Source organism: Homo sapiens, chromosome 11 (genome assembly GCF_000001405.40).
Source record: "Homo sapiens chromosome 11, GRCh38.p14 Primary Assembly".
Lineage (NCBI taxonomy): Eukaryota > Metazoa > Chordata > Mammalia > Primates > Hominidae > Homo > Homo sapiens.
The window spans coordinates 74,757,137-74,782,977 of record NC_000011.10 but is presented as its reverse complement, the minus strand read 5'-3'; the positions used below and the strand labels follow the sequence as shown (position 1 = coordinate 74,782,977).

The 25,841-nt window shown below is 39.4% G+C and overlaps 1 protein-coding gene across 3 annotated transcripts in view, besides 1 other annotated feature; it reads right to left on the bottom strand.

The window, feature by feature from the left end:
• RNF169 (ring finger protein 169) overlaps positions 1 to 25,841 on the bottom strand; it is a 93,565-nt gene that overhangs the window by 59,436 nt on the left and 8,288 nt on the right. Inside the window, exon 1 of one of the 3 annotated variants that reach the window (XM_047426707.1) lies at positions 7,715 to 8,043. The exons of the other annotated variants lie outside the window; for them this stretch is intronic. The gene's annotated coding sequence lies outside the window, so the exon portion shown is untranslated. Of the gene's footprint in view, positions 1 to 7,714; positions 8,044 to 25,841 lie in introns of those variants that run through there. 3 annotated transcript variants of the gene reach the window in all.
• Positions 14,471 to 14,560: a silencer, noted in NCBI's record as "silent region_3758". NCBI's record gives its function as "represses an Ori minimal core promoter by ATAC-STARR-seq in GM12878 lymphoblastoid cells {active_cell/tissue: GM12878}" and the evidence as "EXISTENCE:reporter gene assay evidence [ECO:0000049][PMID:35858748]".

Below are 25,841 nucleotides of genomic sequence, written 5' to 3'. Positions count from 1 at the left end.
AGACACTCATTTGAATAGTCCCACTTACTAGCTATTTGTCTTTGAACAAATTAAAAAAAAAAAAAAAAAACCTCTTTGCACATGAATTTCCTCATGTGTAACTTGGTAATAATACAACCATATATCAGAACTATAGACAAGATTAAATTAATGATGAATTCAAAAGCTTGTAAACTGCTGTTTGCCAAATTATTTAGCACTACACAAATATATAGTTATATATAATATAGTTATACTAATATGTTATAAAATGGTTAACTGAGGACTAATGTGTTTTCTTTAAATACACAGAGACAATTTTCTGTAATCAGAAGAGTTGATGCTATACCACTTATATTTCAACATGCCATAAGGGGCCATCCATATCAGTGGTCCCCAGCCTTTCTGGCACAAGGGACCAGTTTTCTGGAAGACAGTTTTTCCACTGACTGGTGTAGGGGTTGCGGGGGGAGCAGATGGTTGAGATGAAACTGTTCCACCTCAGATCATCAGGTATTAGCTTGTCATAGGACAGCACAGCCTACCTAGATCCCTTGCATGCACAGTTCACAATAGGGTTCATGCTCCTATGAGAATCTAATGCTGCCACTCATTTGCTGTGTGGCCGTGTTCCTAATAGGCCATGGACTGGTACCAGTCCGCAGCCCAGGGGTTGGGGACCCCGATCTATATGACGTGGATCTGCCTACCTCTTCATCTTCATACCACTTCATGCCCTGCCTATTTTACATTCCATCAACAACTATGATTCTTGCCCTAAACCATGCTATTTCTGCCTCTATGCCTCTGCCTGAAATGCCCTCACTTTCCACACTTAACTCTCCACCAGCCGCTTCATAGGAAGCTAAAAACAACTCATCCTTAAAACTCAGTTTAAATTTGTACAAAGCGTAAGATAATAAAACAAAGCCAAAAGATGAACTTGGAAAAAGTACTTGCCACACATATAATAAAAGGCTAATTTCCATCTCTACCACCACCAGTAGCATCATTACAGTGGTTGGCAGTTATGTAGCATGCCAGGCCCACTTCTATGCCCTGAATATTAACTAACTCAACTTCATAATGACTCTATGGGAAGGTGCTATGGTTATCCACATTTTACAGATGAGGAAACTGAGGTACACAGAGTTTCATTTGCTAAGGCTACCACTGCTGTAAGTGAAAGAGCTATGATTTAACACAAGCAATCTAGATCCAGGGTCTGCCTGTGCACTTACCCACTATGCCTTATATATATGTATGAGCCTAACAACCCCATACAACAATGGATAAAGGACATGCATAGGCAGTTCATAGTATAGAAAAATAAAAACTAAGAACAAAACACTTTTGTATCAAGTTGGTAAAGAACAAAAAGTTTCATAAGACCAGAGTTAGCAAAGCTATGCTTTATCTTAAAGATATATATGTGTACAAATATATACATACAAGAATGTTCACTGCTGATTACTCGCCATACTAAAGACTGGGAACAACCTAAATGTCCTTCAAATAAAGATTGATTAACTAATTAGATGATGGGGACACACATGGATCTATTTCTGTACTGTCTGGTTTTATTCCTCTTCTGGTCTCTGGGTTTATCTGTAGTTTTTGTTAGAATGTCATTCATTGTGTATGAAAAACTATAAAGGCCCTGGGTGATGTTATATTCCTACAGAGGATCCACCATCTTCTCTGATAGGCAGTTAGAATGAGGGGGCAGATCACTTCACAATCCAAACATGACATGAGCTGACTCAAAGACGGCTGCAGTATAAAGCTTCTACAGCTCATTCTCCCCTAGTTTGTAGCCCTCCAAGGATCCAACTGAGATCAGTGTTTCCCGAGCCTATCTTCCTTGAAAGATCATGAACTTTTTCTCCTCAACACTGGAGAACTGTTAGAGTCTGCCTTGCTTTTCAGTAGCTTTCTGTGAGGGTTCTTAGCCTTTTACCCCGCACAGTTAACAATCAGCAAACACCCTGGGAGCTAGGTAGCGGGGAAGTAGGTGGAGAGGGCAAGAGGCTATACATCTCTTCTCTTTGGGATCTTGGACCCTCAGGTTCTGGTTGCCTTGGCAGCTCTGAACTACAATTTTTGTATCCTCAGTCTCATGAAGAAAGCACCACTGACGTTTTTGCCTCTTAATAGCTGCACTCTCATTTTGCCAAGAATCCACAAATGTCTGAAATCCTGGCTGCCTTGGCAACTTACAATGCCTTCATATAGATTTTTTTAAATCAAGCTTTTCTAGTTATTCTCAACAGGAGTTTTTGTCTGCTACAATCTGCTTCATCATAGCCAGAAGCAAAATCTACATATTTCATAAGCAGTGGAGAAGATAAGATTTTCATGATGAAACTACAAGCCAAAAATTAAAACCATTTTTTAAAGTATGAAATGATGCACATCATAAGGCAAGCGTGCATACATAAGTAAATCTGAGGAAAGGAAAAAGGATCAATGAGGCTGAATTCTTAAAGGCAAGGCTTCCTGGAGGAGGTGAATTATGTTAGGCATTAAGAACAAGTACTAGTGAGGAAAAAGCCATTTCTGGCAAAGGAAACTTCACAAGCAAAGGCAGAAGTGACTATGTTGTGTCAGATAGACTGGAATAGGGTGTGTGGGCAGTAATGCTGGATAGATGAGATTTGAAGATGTAGTCACCATAGATTAAGAGAGTAAAGAGGGAATGAACAGCGAGGAAGAAAACAAAAGTAGAGAGCATTCTTTGAGAGTCAAGAAAGGGACATAATAAAAAGCAGAACATGGGTGATTCAAGTCCTAAATAAGTTTACAATCTTACAAAGAAAGGAAAAACATACTTGGGTGAAACAACTATAGAATGTCAAAAGAGTTATAAAACTAAATACCTAAGTACTGCAAGAGGTGGAGGTGCACAACAGCGAAAGGCAGGCAATGAAACAAAGCACATCTTTTACAATGAAACATATGTTAAGTGCAAAGATACACAAGAAACAAGGCAATTATCCATATTAATCTCATATTTACCTGCTTAGCCGGGCACAATAGCACATGCCTGTAGTCCCAGCTACTCAGAAGGCTAGAGTGGGAGGACTGCAAGTTTGAGGCCAACCCCAGGCAAAGTAGGGAAACCCCATCTCCAAAAAAAAGCAGCCAATCAAATTTACCTGCTGATACCATCCACTAAACCTTGAACAACCACTGTCAAATGAAGTAAGTGAAAGGAGAAACTTTAATGTTTAAAATAAATGCACCATTTAAAAGTAGTAAGGTAGAAATACAGGAGTGAACCACAAATGTATTCTAAAACCAAACTATTGTAAATAACTTTTTTTTGAGAAGAAAATCAAATCAGCTAGAATTGAACCCCCCCAAAAAATAAAATAAAATAAAAATAAAACCAAACTAAAGTGTTTCCCATTTTATCTACTATTTTTTGGTTTACTCCTTCTGATTCTCCAAGAATATAGATGATAGCCAAGTACCGACTGTCTTAAACAAATGCAATTTTCACCTACCCCCTTGCCTAAGACAAGTAACAGTTTACAACAGGCAATATAGAGTGTTTACCTGGGAACAAGAGGAAATACACAGAAAGAAAGTTGAACTGAGCTAATAAAATTTAGTATCAAATTTTAAGGCTGCTCACTTAGGTTCCATAATTTACACCACCGATTACTACTATGGTAGTAGTAGTACTACTACTACTGTGTTTTTAAACTATTCTTTGGCAAAGTACTAATCAAACAGAAATGCCACAGCCCACACAAGAACTTATGAAATGCTATGTAACATCTGATCTAGTAATTTAATTTCTAGGAATCTATCTAAGACAGTTATCTGAAATATCGCAAAACTTTTACATAAAAATATTTTCATTGCAACATTGTTAACAACTGCAAAATAAAAATCAAGAATAATTTAACTGTCCAATACTGAGAAAATGGTTAGGCTGATTATGGACAGACCATACACTTGTACTATTATTCAGTCACTAAAATTGTATACTTTTAATAATACGCAGTATTGCTTTCATAAGATGGGAAACTGCTTAAGTTAGTGAAAGATGCAAGTCACCTGTATGGTAAATGCACCTGATAGCAATAACTTCAGCATACCCTGAGAATAACCGATATGGTGGACACATCTGAATGTGTGTTCCAAGCTAGGGAATCTGGGAGTGGCCAACTCAGAAATTCATTCCTTGTCTATGAGGAACACCTGAGCCCCTGTCCAGTGGAACATGGGCCATATGGGACATAGAGGTCCTGACTTTTGAGTTGAATGAAGGGTGCCAGGTGGCGGTTGTTAGATAAAGGCTGCTACGTAAAAATACTATAGAAATTGCAGGCCTTTTGAAAGTGGCGGCAGTTCTCCCGCCCAGCCCGCCACCACTGGAGTCTCTCCCTGTATGTAAAGCCCCCAGGAAAACTCCATGTCTCGTTTACTGGCTAAGTCTCTTCTTTGGCCTCTTGAACCTGGTGCCATCCCCACTGGAGCTGATGGGGTTTGGCACAACATCACCAGATTAAGTATACCTTATAATCTCAAACAAGAAAAACCATTAAACACAGAAACAGCAATAACATACTGGAAAAAGAAACAGTGACATAATCGTAGAACTCACAAATGGAAAAAAAATTCGTGATAACATATCAAGTTATCATATGTAAATGTGTAAGAATGATAGAAACAGTCACCAGAGATTAGTAGGTTAAAGAGGGAATGAGCAATGAGGAAGAAGGGAGGTACTGCAGAACGAGAAAATATAAAAAGAAAGGCACAAAACTCTTTCCCCAAAACATTTATAATGCAGTTTATTAGCTAAGACTAAATCATAAAAAGCTTTAAAAATAGTTTTAAATAACTAGGGAGACGATGACAGATGCAATGTCACAGAATAAACAACTGCCAAATGAATCTTACAAACACACACTGCAGTTAAGAATCCACAGGAGAAAGAGAACAGGGCTGGGAAGGAGAGGCAATGCTTTCACAAGATGAGATGAAGCTGCATCTGGCCTGCTGACCGTAGTTTGCTAATCTCTGGATTAGTGAGAAAGACAAATTAAGACAGTTGAGGCTGGACGTGGTAGCTCCTGCCTGTAATCCCATCACTTTGGGAGGCCAAGGCAGGAGGATCTCTTAGACTAGCCGTTTGAGACCAGCCCAGACAACATAATGAGACTCCATCTGCACAAAAAATTAAAAATTGGCCAAGCATGGTGGTGCATATTTGTAGTCCCAGCTACTCAGGAGGCTAAGGCGGAAGGTCAAGGCTGCAGTGAGCCTTGATTGTGCCACTGCACTCCAACCTGGGCAAAAGAGCAAGACCCTGTCTCAAAAAAAAAAAAATTTAAGACAACCGAGACCAACAGGATTTGCAAAAGCAGGTATAAGAGTAGAGTCAAAGTGAATAAGGTTTCTTGTTGAATCCAGAAATGGCCCCAACAACAAGGCTTTGTTGTTAGGTAATCCGCACTGGATCAGCACAGTCAAAGCAGCAAGAGGCACATGATAAAGGAGGTCACAGAATCAAACACAGACATGGGAATGCTGCTAAGATGAAGGCTTTGGACCTTATGGCCTTTTATCCTAGGCAGACCAAGCCCATGTGGTTGTCCTCACTACCACATCTACCACCACCATGATACAAAATCCTTTGGAATTAAGTTTTGCCCTGCTTGAGGCAAAGAATTATTCCTGTTAGTCCACAAGGTAGAATGATACCAGAATTAAAAAGAATGCAGGATTTGGAACCAGACAGACCTGCAGTCACCTAGTGACTATGTGCCTACCAGTATTTATCTTTGCTAAGCCTGTTTCTTCATTCATAAAATGGGAGTAGCACTTACCTCAACACAGTTGTTTATCTCACCTAATCCTCCAATACCTACTTGGTATAGATTGTGGGCATTCAATGATAAGTAACTGGCCTCCCTGTCTCTTAGACTCTGTCTTTCCATCTATCTTTAACATTGCTTCCCTTTCTTTATGAAGAGAACTGACCCTACCACCCTTCCACTTAATAACTTTTATTGGCTTCCCACTGCCTCCAAGATTTGTAAACAGGACCCAATCTGCCACTTCAGCCAATCTTCTACTATTCCTTCAATAATCCTTTTCTCCCCAGCCCTTACACATCTCCCTATTCCTAGATATGCCATATCCTGCCTCCACTAGGACTTTATATATGCCACTTCCTCCTCCCAGAATGATTTTCTTCCCCTTTCACTATGATTTGCTATTCATACTTCAAAACCCTGTTCACTGCTCTCTCCTTTGCAGTTTTCCCACTAACCCAGAGAGAATTACATTAGCTTCCTGTAGGCCCTCATGGCATTCTGCACTTATCTCAATTGCAGTAACATTTACTACTTGTGTTATAATTACTTTACTTTGCCTCTGACTTCCTAACTTGAAGTTAGGGATGATCTCTAGGTATGTGTCTCAGTGTCAAACAATGGCTTAAATTTTTTTTTTTTTTTTTTTTTTTGGCTGAATGAACCAATGAGATTCATGACAGCATCATTTTGCACTATGGTCTTTTAAAGAATTCGTTTTCTGAAGGTAGCTGAATTTTGTAAAGTTTTTCTTTATAATTAAGGCAAAGGTGAATTTATTAAAGTCAAAGTCTCATTATCATCAACTTTAATAGAGTCCAATCTTTTGAGGTTGCATTATAATAGTTTTATAGAACTAAACACTAGAAAATTACAAGAGAAATGGCAAAACAGAAGGAAGGGAAAATAAGTCCATAAACACCAAAATTGAACATCAGTTGTCTTTGGGCTTAAAAATTTAGTTGTACATACATGTGAGGAAAAAGACTGGCATAATGGAAGTTCATGCAAAAAATAAAAAAGAGCAATTTTTGTTTTGCCTGCCAATACAACTTTTGGCATCATTAATAAGAATTTAGTGCTCAGATGGGAAGACAGTAAGTCATATTATACTTGGCTCTGGTCAGGCTATAAAGTATCAGGTTTTCTGAGTGGCATATTTAAAGATGACTAGAATGGTTAAGGAATCATGACATATAAAGAAAAACTTTCCAGCTTTTTAGGAATTTTTCCTTCATTAAGTATTTACTGAGCGTCTAATACATTCCAGATAACATATTAAGTGCTGAATACATAAAGCCATAATCCCTGACCTCAAAGAGCTCAGTATAGTGCCAGAGACAGACATATAAATAAATAACTTTAATCCAGTGAAATGAGGGATTCACATGATCAAATGGTGGCAAAAATGAAGGAATAATCAACTCACATTTGAGTGAGAAAACATTTTACCGAGCACTTATGTTTCATTTGGGTCTTGAAGGATGAGTATAAATTTGCCAGGTAGATAAGAGGGAAGAATATTCCAGGCAGAATAATCATTGGTGAGGAATATCAGAAAGGCTTCAAAAAGCTTACGATATTCCAAGAACTCTGAGTAGTATGGTATGACCAGAATCTTGGGGAAGGAAAAAAAAAACAGAACAGAGAGATGAATATGACAAGTTTAATCTAAAAACTTACAAGTAATCATGGTCTCTAAATACTTGAATACTGAAACTAGGGAAGCAGATTTTGATTCACTAAAAAAGAAAACTTTCAAACAATTAAAATTGTCCAAAAATATTCCTCTTTGACTAGAACAAAAAAAAGAAAAAGAAAAATTGTCCAAAAATAGAGAGGAGGGAGTACAAAGTAATCAGAATGGGAGAAACATCCCTATTAATGTATAAGATCAATACCTCCACAGGTGTTCAGACCTCATCTTCCTTTACCTCTTCATTGACTTAGCTCATTCCATTTCCTCCATTCTCTCCAGCACCATCAATTTCTTCCTCTCTACTATGATAATATGCAAATCTAAAATACAAACATGACTTGATATCATCTATCTTGAAAAGAAAACATTCTTGGGCTCTTGTCCCAGCTGTAGGTACTGACCCATTTATCTGCCCCCATTACTGCAAATTCCTCCAAAGAATTGTCTAAATGTTATATTCACTGTTTCTGCTTTCTCATTTATTTTTTGTTTGAGATGGAGTCTCACTCTGTCGTCCAGTCTCTGTCACCCAGTCTTGAGATGGAGTCTCCCTCTGTCGGCTCACTGCAACCTCTGCCTCCCAGATTCAAGCAATCCTCCCACCTCAGTCTCTCAAGTAGCTACGATTACAGGCATGTGCCACCATGCCTGGCTAATTTTGTTTGTATTTTTTAGTAGAGACGGGGTTTCATCATGTTAGCCAGGATGGTCTCAAACTCCTGACCTCAAGTGATCCGCCCACCTCGGCATCCCAAAGTGCTAGGATTACAGGCATGAGCCACTACACCCGGCCTTGCTTTCTCATTTCTAATTCTCACCTTAACCCACTCTATTAGGACCTTTTCTTTGTCCTACCACATTACCAAAACTGCTCTTAATAAAGTCACCAAGAAAGACGTCCAAGGTACCCCAGGGTAGGTATACAATATAAGCACAAAAGAGTTCAATGGGTAAGTTGAATCTGATATACAAACAGAATCTTTACTTAGCCTAAAAACTAGGGAACTTTAAAATTAAAATATCTAATACTAGCCTTATTTAAGTTATCAATCTGGGATAAACTGGCTCAGCTTCAGGTTTTTTTTTGTTTGTTTCTTGTTTTTTTGGGTTTTTTTTTTTTGAAACAGGGTCTCACTCTGTCATCCAGGCTGGACTGCAGTAGTGTCATCTCGGCTCACTGCAGCCTCAACCTCCTGGGTTCAAGCGATCCTGCTGCCTCAGCCTCCTGAGCAGCCGGGATTACAGGCATGTGCCACCATGCCTGGCTAATTTGTGTGTGTGTGTTTTTAGCAGAGACAGGGTTTCACCATGTTGGCCAGGCTGGTCTCGAACTCCTGGCCTCAAGTGATCTGCCTGCCTCGGCCTCCCAAAGTGCTGGGATTACAGGCATGAGCGACTGCACCTGGACAGCTTTAGCTTAACATTATTTCACAAAGGTTTGTGTCTTACTCATCTTTGTATCCCTAGCACCTGGCAGAGTGCTTGGCACAAATATGTGGTATGTGCTCCATGAGGGGGTACAAAATGAATGACTGCATATAATAACAGCTAATATTTATTAGGTATTTACTTTCTATAAGCAGTTTACACATATCATTTCATTTAATCCTCACAACTCTGCAAAATAGCTCCTATTATCCTCATACTAAAAAAGAAGAAATTTAGGCACAGAGTTTAAGATGCTTGCCCAAAGCCACACAGCTACTAAGTAGTAGAATACCAGTATGCAAACTCAGATCCACTAACTTCCAATCCTGTCTCCTTTCCAGAATACTATTTATGATGCAAAATGTTTTCACACTGAAGTATTTAGTGAAAAATTTCATCTATCCTGCAGGCATTTTACAACCCTTCTGACCTCATCAGAAAAATAAACATGTAAGAATATTGTTGTGCCTGGGATTCAGTAGGTGAAACATCCAGGCAAGCTCAAAAAGAAAACTGGCCTGGTGGTACATTTGCACAAATGACCATCTTTCTCCCTCCTTTCATTCGTATTTAGCTTATACAATTATCATCTTATTTTATATTATCCTAAATGCTATAATCAAGTCATCTAAGCTGATAAACACATATAAGAGGCTTTAAAGAGGTATTAGAGAAAGAAATGCAACAGAACAGTAAATCTCAGTCCATGAATTGATCAGATTGGTGTTAAAGATTGACTAGTTGAGAAATTCTGAATTGAGGCTACAATAAAGTCATTTATCGCACAAATATTTATGAACCTACTATATGCCAGATATTGCAGCACCATGGAAATCCAGGCCAATCCTACCCCAGGTCTCAGCAAATCGTAATCCTCCCCAAATGCTACCCCAGGTCTCGGCATTTCAGGACAAATCTCCTAGTCACCAAAAGCTCAGTTTAAGTTCTTAGAAAGTACAAAATACAAGTACTTTTTCACTAGCAAATGTGATAAAATATTTGTATGACTGGATTCCTAAACCAATATATATCTATTTTGACAGTACATCTCCATTACGGATTAAATATTTCTATTGTCACTAACATTTATTGATGACATACTATGGACTATTAGTACCTAGCCAATAGCTTTGGAACTTTTAGTACAATCCACAGTAAGAAATACATTTTACATCACTCCCCAGTTCATGATCAAACACATGTAAAACTGAAACAAATGGTTCATTATGCTAGTATCTATTCTATTCCTTTAAAAAAATGCTAATCTTATCCCATTAATCTGATTTTACTGTTTAAATATCACTATGAAACAATATTGATTATCCTATTTAAACCTTACAACAATCCTTTGAGGCTGTTACCATTATTATCTCCACTTACAAATATGGAAGCTGAGGCTCAGAAAAGCTAAACGCTCTACTCAAGGTCAAAAATAGCTAAGTAACTGAGGGAGCAGAATTTAAACCAGGCAGTTGGCTATGCAACTCACAGGGTAAAAAAGAGCTTTACAGTATAGGGCCCAGCACAGCTCAATACATAAAAGTAAAAAAAAAAAAAAAAAAAAACCAGCATCCCTAGTAGTAAATTAACATTTACTGAAGGATTAAGTGCCAAGTACTGTGCTAGGGGTTTCCACACATATTCTTATTTAAGCCTTATAATAACCCTGTGTGGTTGTAGTATTTACTTTTTACAGACCAGAAAACAGAAACCTCTCAAGGACGTTAATTAAGCAGCTTTGTCACGGTCAATGAGACAAAGGTGGCAGAACTGAGATTCAAATCCAGATTTTCTGATTTCAAATTCACTCCCCTTCCCTGACATACATGACCTGCATAAATAAAAGTGATTTTTTTAAAAAAGACCAATTTTTCCCTTAGATCAGGCAAAGGAATCATTCATAGAACTAATTCAAATTACATCAAGAAAGTTAAAACTTTCTATATTTTCCAGACTAGTTTATACATCAAAGCATTTTCCACAATGCTGAATACAGAATGAGTATCCCTTATCTGAAATGTTGGGGACCATCAGTGTTTCGGACTGTCTTTGGATTTTTTAGTATTTGTATATACATAATTAATTATCTTAAGGATGGAAACCAAGTCTAAATACGAAATTGATTTATGTTTTTTGTTTTAAATTATTTTATAGAGAGAAGGTCTTGATGTTGTCCAAGCTGGTCTCGAACCCCTGGCCTCAAGCAATCCTCCTACCTCGGCCTCCCAAAGTATTGGGATCATAGGCATGAGCCACCATGCCCAGCCCATTTATGTACCATATATACCTTATATACACAGCCTGGAGGTAATTTTGTATATTTTATTTTTTTTGGAGACAAAGTCTTGCCCTGTCACCCAGGTTAGAGTTTAGTGATGCAATCATAGCTCTCTGCAGCCCCAAACTCCTGGGCTCAAGCAATCCTCCCACCTCAGCCTCCTGAGTAGCTGGGACTATAGGTGTGCACCAACATACCTGGCTAATTTTTTTACTTTTGTAGAGACAAGGGTCTCCTTATATTGCCCAGGCTGGTATTGAACTCCTGGCCTCAAGTGATCATCCCACCTCAGCCTCCAGAGTAGCTGGGATTACAGGCACAAGCCATAATAGCGACCAGTTAATAATTAAAATAGTTTTGTGCATAAAACAAAGTCTGTGTTAAGTACTTATATGTAGAATTTTCCACTTGTCATGTCATGTCAGCACTTATAGTTTCAGATTTTTGGCACATTTTCGATTTCAGATTTTCAATTAGGGATGTTCAATCGGTAGTAGACAGAGCCAAAGACTCAAAAGCAAGCCAAGTCCAAGACTATATAAAACTAGCCCAAATCTACTTTAAGTGATGGCAAAAAAAATTACTACAACTAGTATTTCCCCAACCAGTAACCTTAATGTTAGTATGACTAAGTATCAAAAATGCACATGGAGGCCAGGCACGGTGGTTCACGCCTGTAATCCCAGCACTTTGAGAGGTCGAGGCGGGGGGGATCACCTGAGGTCAAGAGTTCGGGACCAGCCTGGCCAACACGGTGAAACCCTGTCTCTACTAAAAATAAAAAAAATTAGCCAGACATGGGGGCACTGGCCTGTAATCCCAGCTACTCGGGAGGCTGAGGCAGGAGAATCCCTTGAACCCAGGAGGCAGAGGTTGTAGTGAGCTGAGATCGTGCCACTGCACTCCAGCCTAAGCAACAGAGCAAGACTCCATCTCAAAAAAAACAAAAACAAAACAAAACGAAAAATGCATGTGGTAACGTGCAAAAACAGGAAGAAACAATGGGTAAGAGAAACCTGCAACTGTAAGGTGAAAACATACTGATTTAATTCATTTATTATAGAATTCTGTTCTTCCTAGTCATTTATCTAATGAAAACACACTAGCCAAGAGGCTAAACGTATGCCAAGTACTGTGTAACACAGGAAATAAACATACTCATGTACATTATTCATGGAGGAACTGCGAGCCATTATTTTGAAAAAAATAGCGAGCTACTGGTAGATATGTTTAGATGTCAGTAACCATGTATCCCCACAATTTAACAGTTTGGGGGATATCTTTCATATCTACAGCTAAAATGAACAAATGGCCTCAGTAATACTAAGCCTGGCCTCTACCTTCTCCTATGAATTATAATTCTTATATCCATAACCTGCTTTCTACCAAGATGAGATAAATATTTCCAGCCCCTTGAAAAGCTAGTGGCAATTTATAAGCAAACTGGCAGCTTACTGTTCCTGCAGTATACATCAAAAAAGAAATACGATGGCTATCGCTTAGACTCTCAAGTTCTGCCCAAGGCCCAGGAATGGGCTCTCCAAGAGTACCCTGAACTCAAATTCTGAGTAAAATCTGTTCTGCTCTTGGTTCTTACAATTGTACTTTCCCTTTTTCATGCACTCTATTTCCTTCCTTTCATTATCAAACTGTGAAACAGTAGTCTAAAGCCAGGTATGGTGGCTCACACCTGTAATCCCAGCACTTTGAGAGACTGAGGCAGGAGGATTGCTTGAACCCAGGAGTTCAAGACCAACCTGGGCAACATGGTGAGACCCTGTATAGTACTAAAAATACAAAAAATTAGTTGGGCACGGTGGCACATGCCTGTAGTCCCAGTTACTTTGGAGGTGGGAGGATCGCTTCAGCCTGAAAAGTAGAGGCTGTAATGTGCCATGATTTCATCACTGAACTCCAGCCTGGATGTCAGAGGGAGACCTTGTTGGGGGGTACAAGGAGAGTAGAGTCTACATTGGCTGATTGTTTCTTCATTTCTCACTCAAGCTATTGAAATGACTCCTATCTTCCGTACTTTTACTTATATAAATGGCATCAAAGGATACATATTCTTTTGCAACTTTTCCTTTTGCAAGTATTTTTTCCAGATTTATCCATGTTGATATATACCCAGTTCATTCATTCTAACAGCTGTAGAAACTAATTTATCCCTTCTCCTATCAAAGACAACTGTTACTACATTTTCTAGTACTACAGTGCTGTAATGTGAGCATCATTGTGTGTGTGCATATGTACACAAGAGTTTCACTATGGCACACACCTATTAATGGAATCTCTGCATAGCAAGGAATCTATCTCTTCAACCTTACTAGATATGGCCAAACTGCTCTCCAACGTGGTTGTATGGCAACTTATACTCCTCCAGCAGTATATAGGTGCTCATTATTTATAATTAATCAATTACAAATTATAGCAGTCTGATGGCATATCACTGGTTTAATTTGCATTTCCCTGATTGCTAATGCTGTTGCGTATCATTCTAGATGTTTACCAGACTTTCAGTTTCCTTCTTCTATGAAATGCCTATTCAAATCTTCTCACCATTTTTCTAATAAGCTATCTGTCATCATAATGATTTGTAGTTCATATATGTTGGATATCAATCTTTTGTCAGTTACTTCACTGCAACTATCTTCTCCCAGCCTCTGGTTGGTCTTCTTACTTAATCTCTTTTTCTGTTTCTGGTGTGTTTGTTTTGTTTTGTTTCTTTTGAGGCAGGGTCTCGCTTCTGTCACCCAGGCTAGAGCACTCACTGCAGCCCGAAACTCCTGGACTCAAAGTATTCTTCCACCTCAGCCTCCTGAATAGCTGGGTCTACAGGCACACCCCACCATGCCTGCCTAAATTTTTATATTTTTTTGTAGAGACAAGGTCTCCCTATGTTGCCCAGGCTGGTGTTGAACTCCTGGCCTCAAGCAATCCTCTCACCTCAACCTCCCAAAGTCCTGGGATTATAGGCATGAGCCACCACGCCTGGCCCAATTTTTAACTTTAATGTGGTCAAATTATCAATCTTTACATTTTTTGTTTGTTTGAAAGCCTTTCTCTACTCCATTTTCATAGAGATAGTCCTAGCATTTTCTAAGTTTTACAGTTTGACCTTTAATCCATTTACAACCTTTTTTTTTTTTTTTTAAGACAGAGTCTAGCTCTGTCACCCAGACTGCAGTGCAGTGGCGTGATCTCAGCTCACTACAGCCACCGCTTCCCAGGTTAAAGCGAATCTCCTGTCTCAGCATCCTGAGTAGCTGGGACTACAGGCATGCGCCATCACGCCTGACTAATTTTTGTATTTTCAGTAGAGACGGGGTTTCCCCATGTTGGCCAGGCTGGTCGCAAACTCCTGACCTTGAGTGATCCGCCCACCTCAGCCTCCTGAAGTGCTGGGATTACAGGCGTGAGCCACCATGCCTGGCTCTACAAATAATTTTTTGCATATGGTGCTAAAGATCTATTTTTTTCTCTAAGGTTAGCTAACCACCCATGAAAAGTAAAAATGACACCTTTACCCTAGTGATTTGTAATGGCCACTCATTATCCACCAAATTTAAATATATGAGGGCATGTTTCTATGCTCTTTAATTTTAACATTAATTATTCAACCACCCTGATACCAATACTTCACTGTCTTAATTAACATGGCTTTAAACAGCTTGATATTTGAGAAAGCAAATCCACCCATCGTGTTCTTCAAAATGGTCTTGACTATTCTTGGCCACTAATCATCCTTATTGATAAATTCCACTTAAAAAGCAAAGACAGTGGCTGGGCACAGTGGCTCACACCTGTAATCTCAAGACCTTGGACAGGCCAAGGCAGGGGGATATCCTGAAGCCAGGAGTTCAAGACCTGCCCTGGCAACATACTGAAACCCCATCTCTATTTTTAAAAAATAAAAAAGAATGGGGAGGCCGAAGTGGGCGGATCACGAGGTCAGGAGATTGAGACCATCCTGGCTAACACGGTGAAACCCCGTCTCTACTAAAAAAAAAAAAATACAAAAAATTAGCCAAGTATGGTGGCGGGCACCTGTAGTCCAAGCTATTCGGGAGGCTGAGGCAGGAGAATGGCGTGAACCCAGGAGGCGGAGGTTGCAGTGAGCCAAGATCGCGCCACTGCACTCCAGCCTGGGCGACAGAGCGAGACTCCATCTCAAAAAATAAATAAAAATAAAAATAAAAAAGAATTATCCAGACGTGGTGGCCCGTGCCTGTAGTCCCAGCTACTCGGGAGGCTTGAACCTGGCAGGTGGAGGTTGCAGTGAGCCAAAATCACGCCACCGAACTCCAGTCTGGGTGACAGAGTGAGACTCTGTCTCAAAAAAAATAAAAATAAAAAAAGAAACTTTCTCCTATTCCACATGTTCTAGTTTTTTTTAAATAATAAATGATAAATTTTGTCAAATGCTTTTTTAAGCCATCTATTGCAATGACCATATAGTTTTACTCTCCTTTAGTTTATTAATATGGGGAACTACATTAGATTCCTAATGTTAAGCCAAACTCCTATTCTTTGAATAACTGCTACTTGGTTGTGATTTTTTAAAAATATACTACTCGATTCAGTCTGTGTTTCACCTGAGATTTTAAAAATCTGTGTTCATGCCAGGTGTGGTGATTCATGCCTGTAATCCCAGCACTTTGGGAAGCAGAGGCAGGAGAATTGCTTGAGGTCAGAAGTTAAGACCAGCCTGGGCAATACAGTGAGATCCCCATCTCCACAAAAAATAGAAAAAAAGAAATAAAAAGACAAAAAATAAAAATCTGTGTTCATGAGAGTGGCCTGTACTTTTCCTTTCTCATACAGTTCTTGTGTGATTTTGTTAACTTGTGTGATTTTGTTATCAAGTTGTAAAAGCCCCCAAAACAAGTCTGGAAACGTTTTATTTATTCCCTGGAACCATCCATCCTTCAATATTTGGGTAACCCATAAAACCATCTGTGCCTGGTACTTCTTCAATGGACAGAATTTCTTCTTGCTTTTTTTATGGAAAAGTTTCAAATATATTATTAGAGAAACCAGTATAATGAACTACCACAGATCATCCAGCTTCAGCAATCAATCATTAGCAATCTTATTTTCTATCCTCCCCTAATCAATACCTGCTCCCTATCTCCTGGAACAAATTTGAAGTTATTTTGAAGCAAATCCCAGGCATCATATCATCTTAGCTATAAATATTTTTAACATCTAAGAGAAGGATTATTTTAAAATATATAACCAGAAAACTATTGTCACACTAAAAATATAAGTCTTTAATACCAACAAATATCCAGCCGGCATTCAAATTCTCATCAAATGTTTTCATACAGTTTTTTCAAATCAGGATCCAAGTAAGTTCATACACTTAAACTGATTGTATCTTTTAATCCATGAATCACCCCTCTGTTGCTTTTTTCCTAATTTATTTGTGGAAGAAAGTAGGCCATTTGTCCCACAGTTTTCCCATATTCTGCATTTTGCTCATTGTGTCCACGCGGTGGTATTGCTTTGTGGGGAGATTTTACTCTTTGCTAATTAGTTACATTTCTAGTCATACTTTCTATTTATTCTTGAGTCAGCTGCCATGTTACACTTTTCCACAAAACTATTTTATCCAATTTTTCAAATTCATGGGCAGAAAGTTTTCCATATTCTATATTTATAGGTTTTTTTAAATCTTCATTATATCTATAGTTGTATTTTTTCATTCCTAATATTTATGCCTTTTCTTTGATCAATCTTGCCAGAGGTTAGGGTTATAGATCTTAATCTTTTCAATGAATTAGATTTTGGCCTTGCTAATTCTTTTGTTTTCTATTCCATTAATTTCTGCTCTTTATTCTTTCCTATCTTCTACTTCTTTTGGGGTTAATCTGCTGTTACTTTTTTTAACTTCTTCAGTTGACCACTTGGTTTTGGGTTTTTTTGTTTTTGTTTTTGTTTTTTTTTTTTTGAGATGTTGCCCAGGCTGCGGTTGTTGCCCAGGCTGGAGTGCAATGGCGCAATCTCAGCTCACTGTAACCTCCACATCCTGGGTTCAAGCGATTCTCCTGCCTCAGCCTCCCAAGTAGCTGGGATTACAGGCACCCACCACCACACTTGGCTAATTTTTTGTATTTTTAGTAGAGATGGGGTTTCACCATGTTGGCCAGGCTGGTCTCAAACTCCTGACCTCAGGTGATCCACCCGCCTTGGCCTCCCAAAGTGCTGGGATTGCAGGCGTGAGCCACCGCACCCGGCTGGTTTTGTTCTTTACCCACGTTATTTAAATTTTGTTTTTTTCAATTTCCAAACATGGATTGGAGGGGGAATTGGTTATATTTTCACTATTAATTTCTAATTTTATTATACTACGGTCAGATAAGATATCTTATATATCTTTCATATGTGTCGAAACTTCCTTTGTGCCTAAATGAATCTAGGAAAATTACGTAAATGTTGCATATTAGTTTAAAAAGGATGCATGTTCTCTAATTTAAGTGTATGGTTCTACATATGTGTAGAGATCAAGTTATATATTGTATTTCTTTTCAGGATTAACCCCATTCGTTGAGACAGGATCTCGCTCTGTCACCTAGGTTGGAGTACAGTGGCACGAACACAGCTTACTGCAGTCTTGACCTCCTGGGCTCAAGCAGTCCTCCTGCCTCAGCCTCCTGTATTGCTGGGACCACAGGCGCACACCACCACATCTGGCTAACTTGATTTTTAGTAGAGACAGGGTCTCATTTTTTTGCCCAGGCTGATCTCGAACTCCTGGACTCAAATGATCCTCCCACCTCGGCCTCCCAAAGTGCTAAGATTAGGCATGAACCACCGTGTCCAGTCTACCTGTAAATGTTTAATGTGCATCTGACTTAAAGCCTAAAGTTGATCAATATCTCTGTCTTCCTATTGAACTACGTTACGTATAGACAGAACTTTAGAAATCTGTAATGAGAATCACTTTTCTCCCCGCTTACATTTTATCTTTGCCTAGTATTTTAGTTTTACCTTGGTTTTAGCCCCTACAAATCAGTGATAATTATTTTGTTTTATACAGTCAACACTGGCTTAGTCTACCTACTGACTTCTTTCTTCATCACAACTTCTTATATCCTACTTTCTCCCCTAAGTTACATTTCTTTCTTCCTGCACTATATGCTTTAGGTTTATAATAAGTTCTTTTAGAAACACTGTGGTAAATTCTCTTTTTCCTGTCTGAAAATATTTTTATTTTTGCCCTTACTTTTTTCTTCTTTTGAGATGGAGTTTTGCTCATGGTTGCCCAAGCTGGAGTGCAATGGTAGGATTTTGGCTCACCGCCTCCTGGGTTCAGCGATTCTCCTGCCTCAGACTCCCAATGATTACAGGCATGCGCCACCACACCCGGCTAATTTTTTGTATTTAGTAGAGACAGGGTTTCAACATGTTAGTCAGGCTGGTCTTGAACTCCTGACCTTGAGCGATCCGCCCACCTCGGCCTCCCAAAGTGCTGGGACTATAGGCGTGCGCTACCGCACCCAGCGCCCTTACTCTTGAATAACTCACCTGAGTATGAAATTCAGATCTCTCTCAAGGCTGAAGAAATTATTCAGTTTTCTTCTGGTCTCTCTTGTAGGTTAAAAGATATATGCTCTCAGTCTGATTATTGCTCCTCTGTCTTTCATTTTTGGTTATACTTAATAGTCTTTGGTGTTCTGAAGTTCCACTGCAATGTGTTTAGTTGTGGTTTTGTTGCTGCTTTTCTGTTGTTAATTCTTGCTAGGTACCAGGTGCAGTGGCTCACGCTTGTAATGCCAACACTTTGGGAGGCCAAGGTGGGAGGATCACTTGAGCCTGGGAGGTCAAGGCTGCAGCAAGCTATGATCACACCATTGTACTCAAGCCTGAGCTACAGAGCAAGACCTCGTCTCAAAACAAAAACAAAAAACCTCTTGCTAGGGCCTCATGAGCCTCGAACCTAAGGATTCAGGACTTTTTACTAATTCTAAAAAATTCTCAAGTCATCTTCTCTTCAAATTCCACATCTCCTCCACATTTTTTTTTCTCCTGGAAGTACCATTACATGTTGGATCTTCTTGATTTGTCCTTTTCCTTTTTCTTCACCTTCTTTCATATTTTGCTTTATTTGTATTCTTGAGAATTTCCTCATGTCTATGTCCCACCTTGCTAATCTCTCTTCATCTGTGTAAACTATTGTTTAACTTATTTACTGAGATTTTTAACCTCAATGACATTTTTCATTATGTTTCATTCTTTTTCAAATGTGTGTGTTTCATAATGCTTTATTCATTTCTTGGGATGTCAATTCTTTAAAGTCTTTAGCCACTTAAAATATGCTAATTTAAATTCTCTCTCAAATTGTCACTCTCTTATCCGAGTTCTTGGAGCTATAATCCTCCTGCTTGTTCTATCTGCTGACTCTCGTTTGTGGTACAAAGCCATTTCCTCATGTGTCATTTTTAATCATAAATTCATCTTCAGTTGGGCTTATTTCTTCTGTAAGAATCCCTTGAGGTCTAAGGTATGGACGTACCTCTCAGAGTCTTTTCCTGTCTCACTAGCTTGAAGCCTGTTTGTATATTAATTTCTGAGCCATATAATATAAACCCAGTTCCCAAATGTAAGCAAAGTATAGATCTTGTGCTTCAATTTCTCAGGCAAACTTTTTTCATTTTCTCTTTGCATAGAGCTCAAGCAAATCAAGACAAGATTTCTTGTCGTCTCCTTGTGTAATAGGGAAGATTTTCTTTTTCTAGCCCACCCTTTCACCTAGAGTGCAGCACATCAAAAATCTCAACTTTATGCAGAAATCTTAGTTCTGATTCCTTTTTGCATATGGTAAAACTCAACCTGCTAGGAAGAGAACACCTGAAATAACCCATCTCTACACTCCTCACTCTGCTCCAGGGCAATACAGCATAGGTTCAAGGGCTTACAGTTTTGGTCGGTAGTTCCATTTTTGTTTTTGGAAACGAGATTTTCCTATCTTTCCTGTATATTCAAGAATGCATTTAAAAGAACTGTCATTCTTTATTATGCAGCTTTTGGGCTTACAGTTTTGGTTTGTAGTTCCATTTTTGTTTTTGGAAACTGGAGATTTTCCTATCTTTCCTGTATATTCAAAGATGCATTTAAAAGAATTGTCGGATGGCCGAATAGGAACAGCTCCGGTCTACAGCTCCCAGCGTGAGCGACGCAGAAGACGGGTGATTTCTGCATTTCCATCTGAGACCTGCAGCTGAGGGTCCTGTCTGTTAGAAGGAAAACTAACAAACAGAAAGGACATCCACACCGAAAACCCATCTGTACATCACCATCATCAAAGACCAAAAGTAGATAAAACCACAAAGATGGGGAAAAAACACAATAGAAAAACTGGAAACTCTAAAAGGCAGAGCGCCTCTCCTCCTCCAAAGGAACGCAGTTCCTCACCAGCAACGGAACAAAGCTGGATGGAGAATGATTTTGACGAGCTGAGAGAAGAAGGCTTCAGACGATCAAATTACTCTGAGCTACGGGAGGACATTCAAACCAAAGGCAAAGAAGTTGAAAACTTTGAAAAAAATTTAGAAGAATGTATAACTAGAATAACCAATACAGAGAAGTGTTTAAAGGAGCTGATGGAGCTGAAAACCAAGGCTTGAGAACTACATGAAGAATGCAGAAGCCTCAGGAGCCGATGCGATCAACTGGAAGAAAGGGTATCAGCGATGGAAGATGAAATGAATGAAATGAAGCGAGAAGGGAAGTTTAGAGAAAAAAGAATAAAAAGAAATGAGCAAAGCCTCCAAGAAATATGGGACTATGTGAAAAGACCAAATCTACGTCTGATTGGTATACCTGAAAGTGATGGGGAGAATGGAACCAAGTTGGAAAACACTCTGCAGGATATTATCCAGGAGAACTTCCCCAATCTAGCAAGGCAGGCCAACGTTCAGATTCAGGAAATACAGAGAACGCCACAAAGATACTCCTCGAGAAGAGCAACTCCAAGACACATAATTGTCAGATTCACCAAAGTTGAAATGAAGGAAAAAATGTTAAGGGCAGCCAGAGAGAAAGGTCGGGAAAGGGAAGCCCATCAGACTAACAGCGGATCTCTCGGCAGAAACCCTACAAGCCAGAAAAGAGTGGGGGCCAATATTCAACATTCTTAAAGGAAAGAATTTTCAACCCAGAATTTCATGTCCAGCCAAACTAAGCTTCATAAGTGAAGGAGAAATAAAATCCTTTACAGACAAGCAAATGCTGAGAGATTTTGTCACCACCAGGCCTGCCCTAAAAGAGCTCCTGAAGGAAGCGCTAAACATGGAAAGGAACAACCGGTACCAGCTGCTGCAAAATCATGCCAAAATGTAAAGACCATCGAGACTAGGAAGAAACTGCATCAACTAACGAGCAAAATCACCAGCTAACATCATAATGACAGGATCAAATTCACACATAACAATATTAACTTTAAATGTAAATGGACTAAATTCTCCAATTAAAAGACACAGACTGGCAAGTTGGATAAAGAGTCATGACCCATCAGTGTGCTGTATTCAGGAAACCCATCTCACGTGCAGAGACACACATAGGCTCAAAATAAAAGGATGGAGGAAGATCTACCAAGCAAATGGAAAACAAAAAAAGGCAGGGGTTGCAATCCTAGTCTCGGATAAAACAGACTTTAAACCAACAAAGATCAAAAGAGACAAAGAAGGCCATTACATAATGGTAAAGGGATCAATTCAACAAGAGGAGCTAACTATCCTAAATATATATGCACCCAATACAGGAGCACCCAGATTCATAAAGCAAGTCCTGAGTGACCTACAAAGAGACTTAGACTCCCACACATTAATAATGGGAGACTTTAACACCCCACTGTCAACATTAGACAGATCAACGAGACAGAAAGTCAACAAGGATACCCAGGAATTGAACTCAGCTCTGCACCAAGCGGACCTAATAGACATCTACAGAACTCTCCACCCCAAATCAACAGAATATACATTTTTTTCAGCACCACACCACACCTATTCCAAAATTGACCACATAGTTGGAAGTAAAACTCTCCTCAGCAAATGTAAAAGAACAGAAATTATAACAAACTATCTCTCAGACCACAGTGCAATCAAACTAGAACTCAGGATTAATAATCTCACTCAAAGCCGCTCAACTACATGGAAACTGAACAACCTGCTCCTGAATGACTACTGGGTACATAACGAAATGAAGGCAGACATAAAGATGTTCTTTGAAACCAACGAGAACAAAGACACAACATACCAGAATCTCTGGGACGCATTCAAAGCAGTTTGTAGAGGGAAATTTATAGCACTGAATGCCCACAAGAGAAAGCAGGAAAGATCCAAAATTGACACCCTAACATCACAATTAAAAGAACTAGAAAAGCAAGAGCAAACACATTCAAAAGCTAGCAGAAGGCAAGAAATAACTAAAATCAGAGCAGAACTGAAGGAAATACAGACATAAAAAACCCTTCAAAAAATCAATGAATCCAGGAGCTGGTTTTTTGAAAGGATCAACAAAATTGATAGACCACTAGCAAGACTAATAAAGAAAAAAAGAGAGAAGAATCAAATAGACACAATAAAAAATGATAAAGGGGATATCACCACCAATCCCACAGAAATACAAACTACCATCAGAGAATACTACAAACACCTCTACACAAATAAACTAGAAAATCTAGAAGAAATGGATACATTCCTCGACACATACACTCTCCCAAGACTAAACCAGGAAGAAGCTGAATCTCTGAATAGACCAATAACAGGAGCTGAAATTGTGGCAATAATCAATAGTTTACCAACCAAAAAGAGTCCAGGACCAGATGGATTCACAGCCGAATTCTACCAGAGGTACAAAGAGGAACTGGTACCATTCCTTCTGAAACTATTCCAATCAATAGAAAAAGAGGGAATCCTCCCTAACTCATTTGATGAGGCCAGCATCATTCTGATACCAAAGCCGGGCAGAGACACAACCAAAAAAGAGAATTTTAGACCAATATCCTTGATGAACATTGATGCAAAAATCCTCAATAAAATACTGGCAAACCAAATCCAGCAGCACATCAAAAAGCTTATCCACCATGATCAAGTGGGCTTCATCCCTGGGATGCAAGGCTGGTTCAATATCCGCAAATCAATAAATGTAATCCAGCATATAAACAGAGCCAAAGACAAAAACCACATGATTATCTCAATAGATGCAGAAAAAGCCTTTGACAAAATTCAACAACCCTTCATGCTAAAAACTCTCAATAAATTAGGTACTGATGGGACGTATTTCAAAATAATAAGAGCTATCTATGACAAACCCACAGCCAATATCATACTGAATGGGCAAAAACTGGAAGCATTCCCTTTGAAAACTGGCACAAGACAGGGATGCCCTCTCTCACCACTCCTATTCAACATAGTGTTGGAAGTTCTGGCCAGGGCAATCAGGCAGGAGAAGGAAATAAAAGGTATTCAATTAGGAAAAGAGGAAGTCAAATTGTCCCTGTTTGCAGACGACATGATTGTTTATCTAGAAAACCCCATTGTCTCAGCCCAAAATCTCCTTAAGCTGATAAGCAACTTCAGCAAAGTCTCAGGATACAAAATCAATGTACAAAAATCACAAGCATTCTTATACACCAACAACAGACAAACAGAGAGCCAAATCATGAGTGAACTCCCATTCACAATTGCTTCAAAGAGAATAAAATATCTAGGAATCCAACTTACAAGGGATGTGAAGGACCTCTTCAAGGAGAACCACAAACCACTGCTCAAGGAAATAAAAGAGGATACAAACAAATGGAAGAACATTCCATGCTCATGGGTAGGAAGAATCAATATCGTGAAAATGGCCATACTGCCCAAGGTAATTTACAGATTCAATGCCATCCCCATCAAGCTACCAATGACTTTCTTCACAGAATTGGAAAAAACTACTTTAAAGTTCATATGGACGGCCGGGCGCGGTGGCTCACGCCTGTAATCCCAGCACTTTGGGAGGCCAAGGTGGGCGGATCACGAGGTCAGGAGATCGAGACCATCCCCGCTAAAACAGTGAAACCCCGTCTCTACTAAAAATACAAAAAAAAATTAGCCGGGCGTAGTGGCGGGCGCCTGTAGTCCCAGCTACTTGGGAGGCTGAGGCAGGAGAATGGCGTGAAACCGGGAGGCGGAGCTTGCAGTGAGCCGAGATCCCGCCACTGCACTCCAGCCTGGGTGACAGAGCGAGACTCCGTCTCAAAAAAAAAAAAAAGTTCATATGGAACCAAAAAAGAGCCCGCATCGCCAAGTCAATCCTAAGCCAAAAAAACAAAGCTGGAGGCATCACACTACCTGACTTCAAACTATACTACAAGGCTACAGTAACCAAAACAGCATGGTACTGGTACCAAAACAGAGATATAGATCAATGGAACAGAACAGAGCCCTCAGAAATAACGCCGCATACCAACAACTATCTGATCTTTGACAAACCTGAGAAAAACAAGCAATGGGGAAAGGATTCCCTATTTAATAAATGGTGCTGGGAAAACTGGCTAGCCATATGTAGAAAGCTGAAACTGGATCCCTTCCTTACACCTTATACAAAAATCAATTCAAGATGGATTAAAGATTTAAACGTTAGACCTAAAACCATAAAAACCCTAGAAGAAAACCTAGGCATTACCATTCAGGACATAGGCGTGGGCAAGGACTTCATGTCCAAAACACCAAAAGCAATGGCAACAAAAGACAAAATTGACAAATGGGATCTAATTAAACTAAAGAGCTTCTGCACAGCAAAAGAAACTACCATCAGAGTGAACAGGCAACACACAAAATGGGAGAAAATTTTCGCAACCTACTCATCTGACAAAGGGCTAATATCCAGAATCTACAATGAACTCAAACAAATTTACAAGAAAAAAACAAACAACCCCATCAAAAAGTGGGCAAAGGATATGAACAGACACTTCTCAAAAGAAGACATTTATGCAGCCAAAAAACACATGAAAAAATGCTCACCATCACTGGCCATCAGAGAAATGCAAATCAAAACCACTATGAGATATCATCTCACACCAGTTAGAATGGCAATCATTAAAAAGTCAGGAAACAACAGGTGCTGGAGAGGATGTGGAGAAATAGGAACACTTTTACACTGTTGGTGGGACTGTAAACTAGTTCAACCATTGTGGAAGTCAGTGTGGCGATTCCTCAGGGATCTAGAACTAGAAATACCATTTGACCCAGCCATCCCATTACTGGGTATATACTCAAAGGACTATAAATCATGCTGCTATAAAGACACATGCACACGTATGTTTACTGCGGCATTATTCACAATAGCAAAGACTTGGAACCAACCCAAATGTCCAACAATGATAGACTGGATTAAGAAAATGTGGCACATATACACCATGGAATACTATGCAGCCATAAAAAATGATGAGTTCATGTCCTTTGTAGGGACATGGATGAAACTGGAAACCATCATTCTCAGTAAACTATCGCAAGAACAAAAAACCAAACACCGCATATTCTCACTCATAGGTGGGAATTGAACAATGAGATCACATGGACACAGGAAGGGGACTATCACACTCTGGGGACTGTGGTGGGGTGGGGGGAGGGGGGAGGGA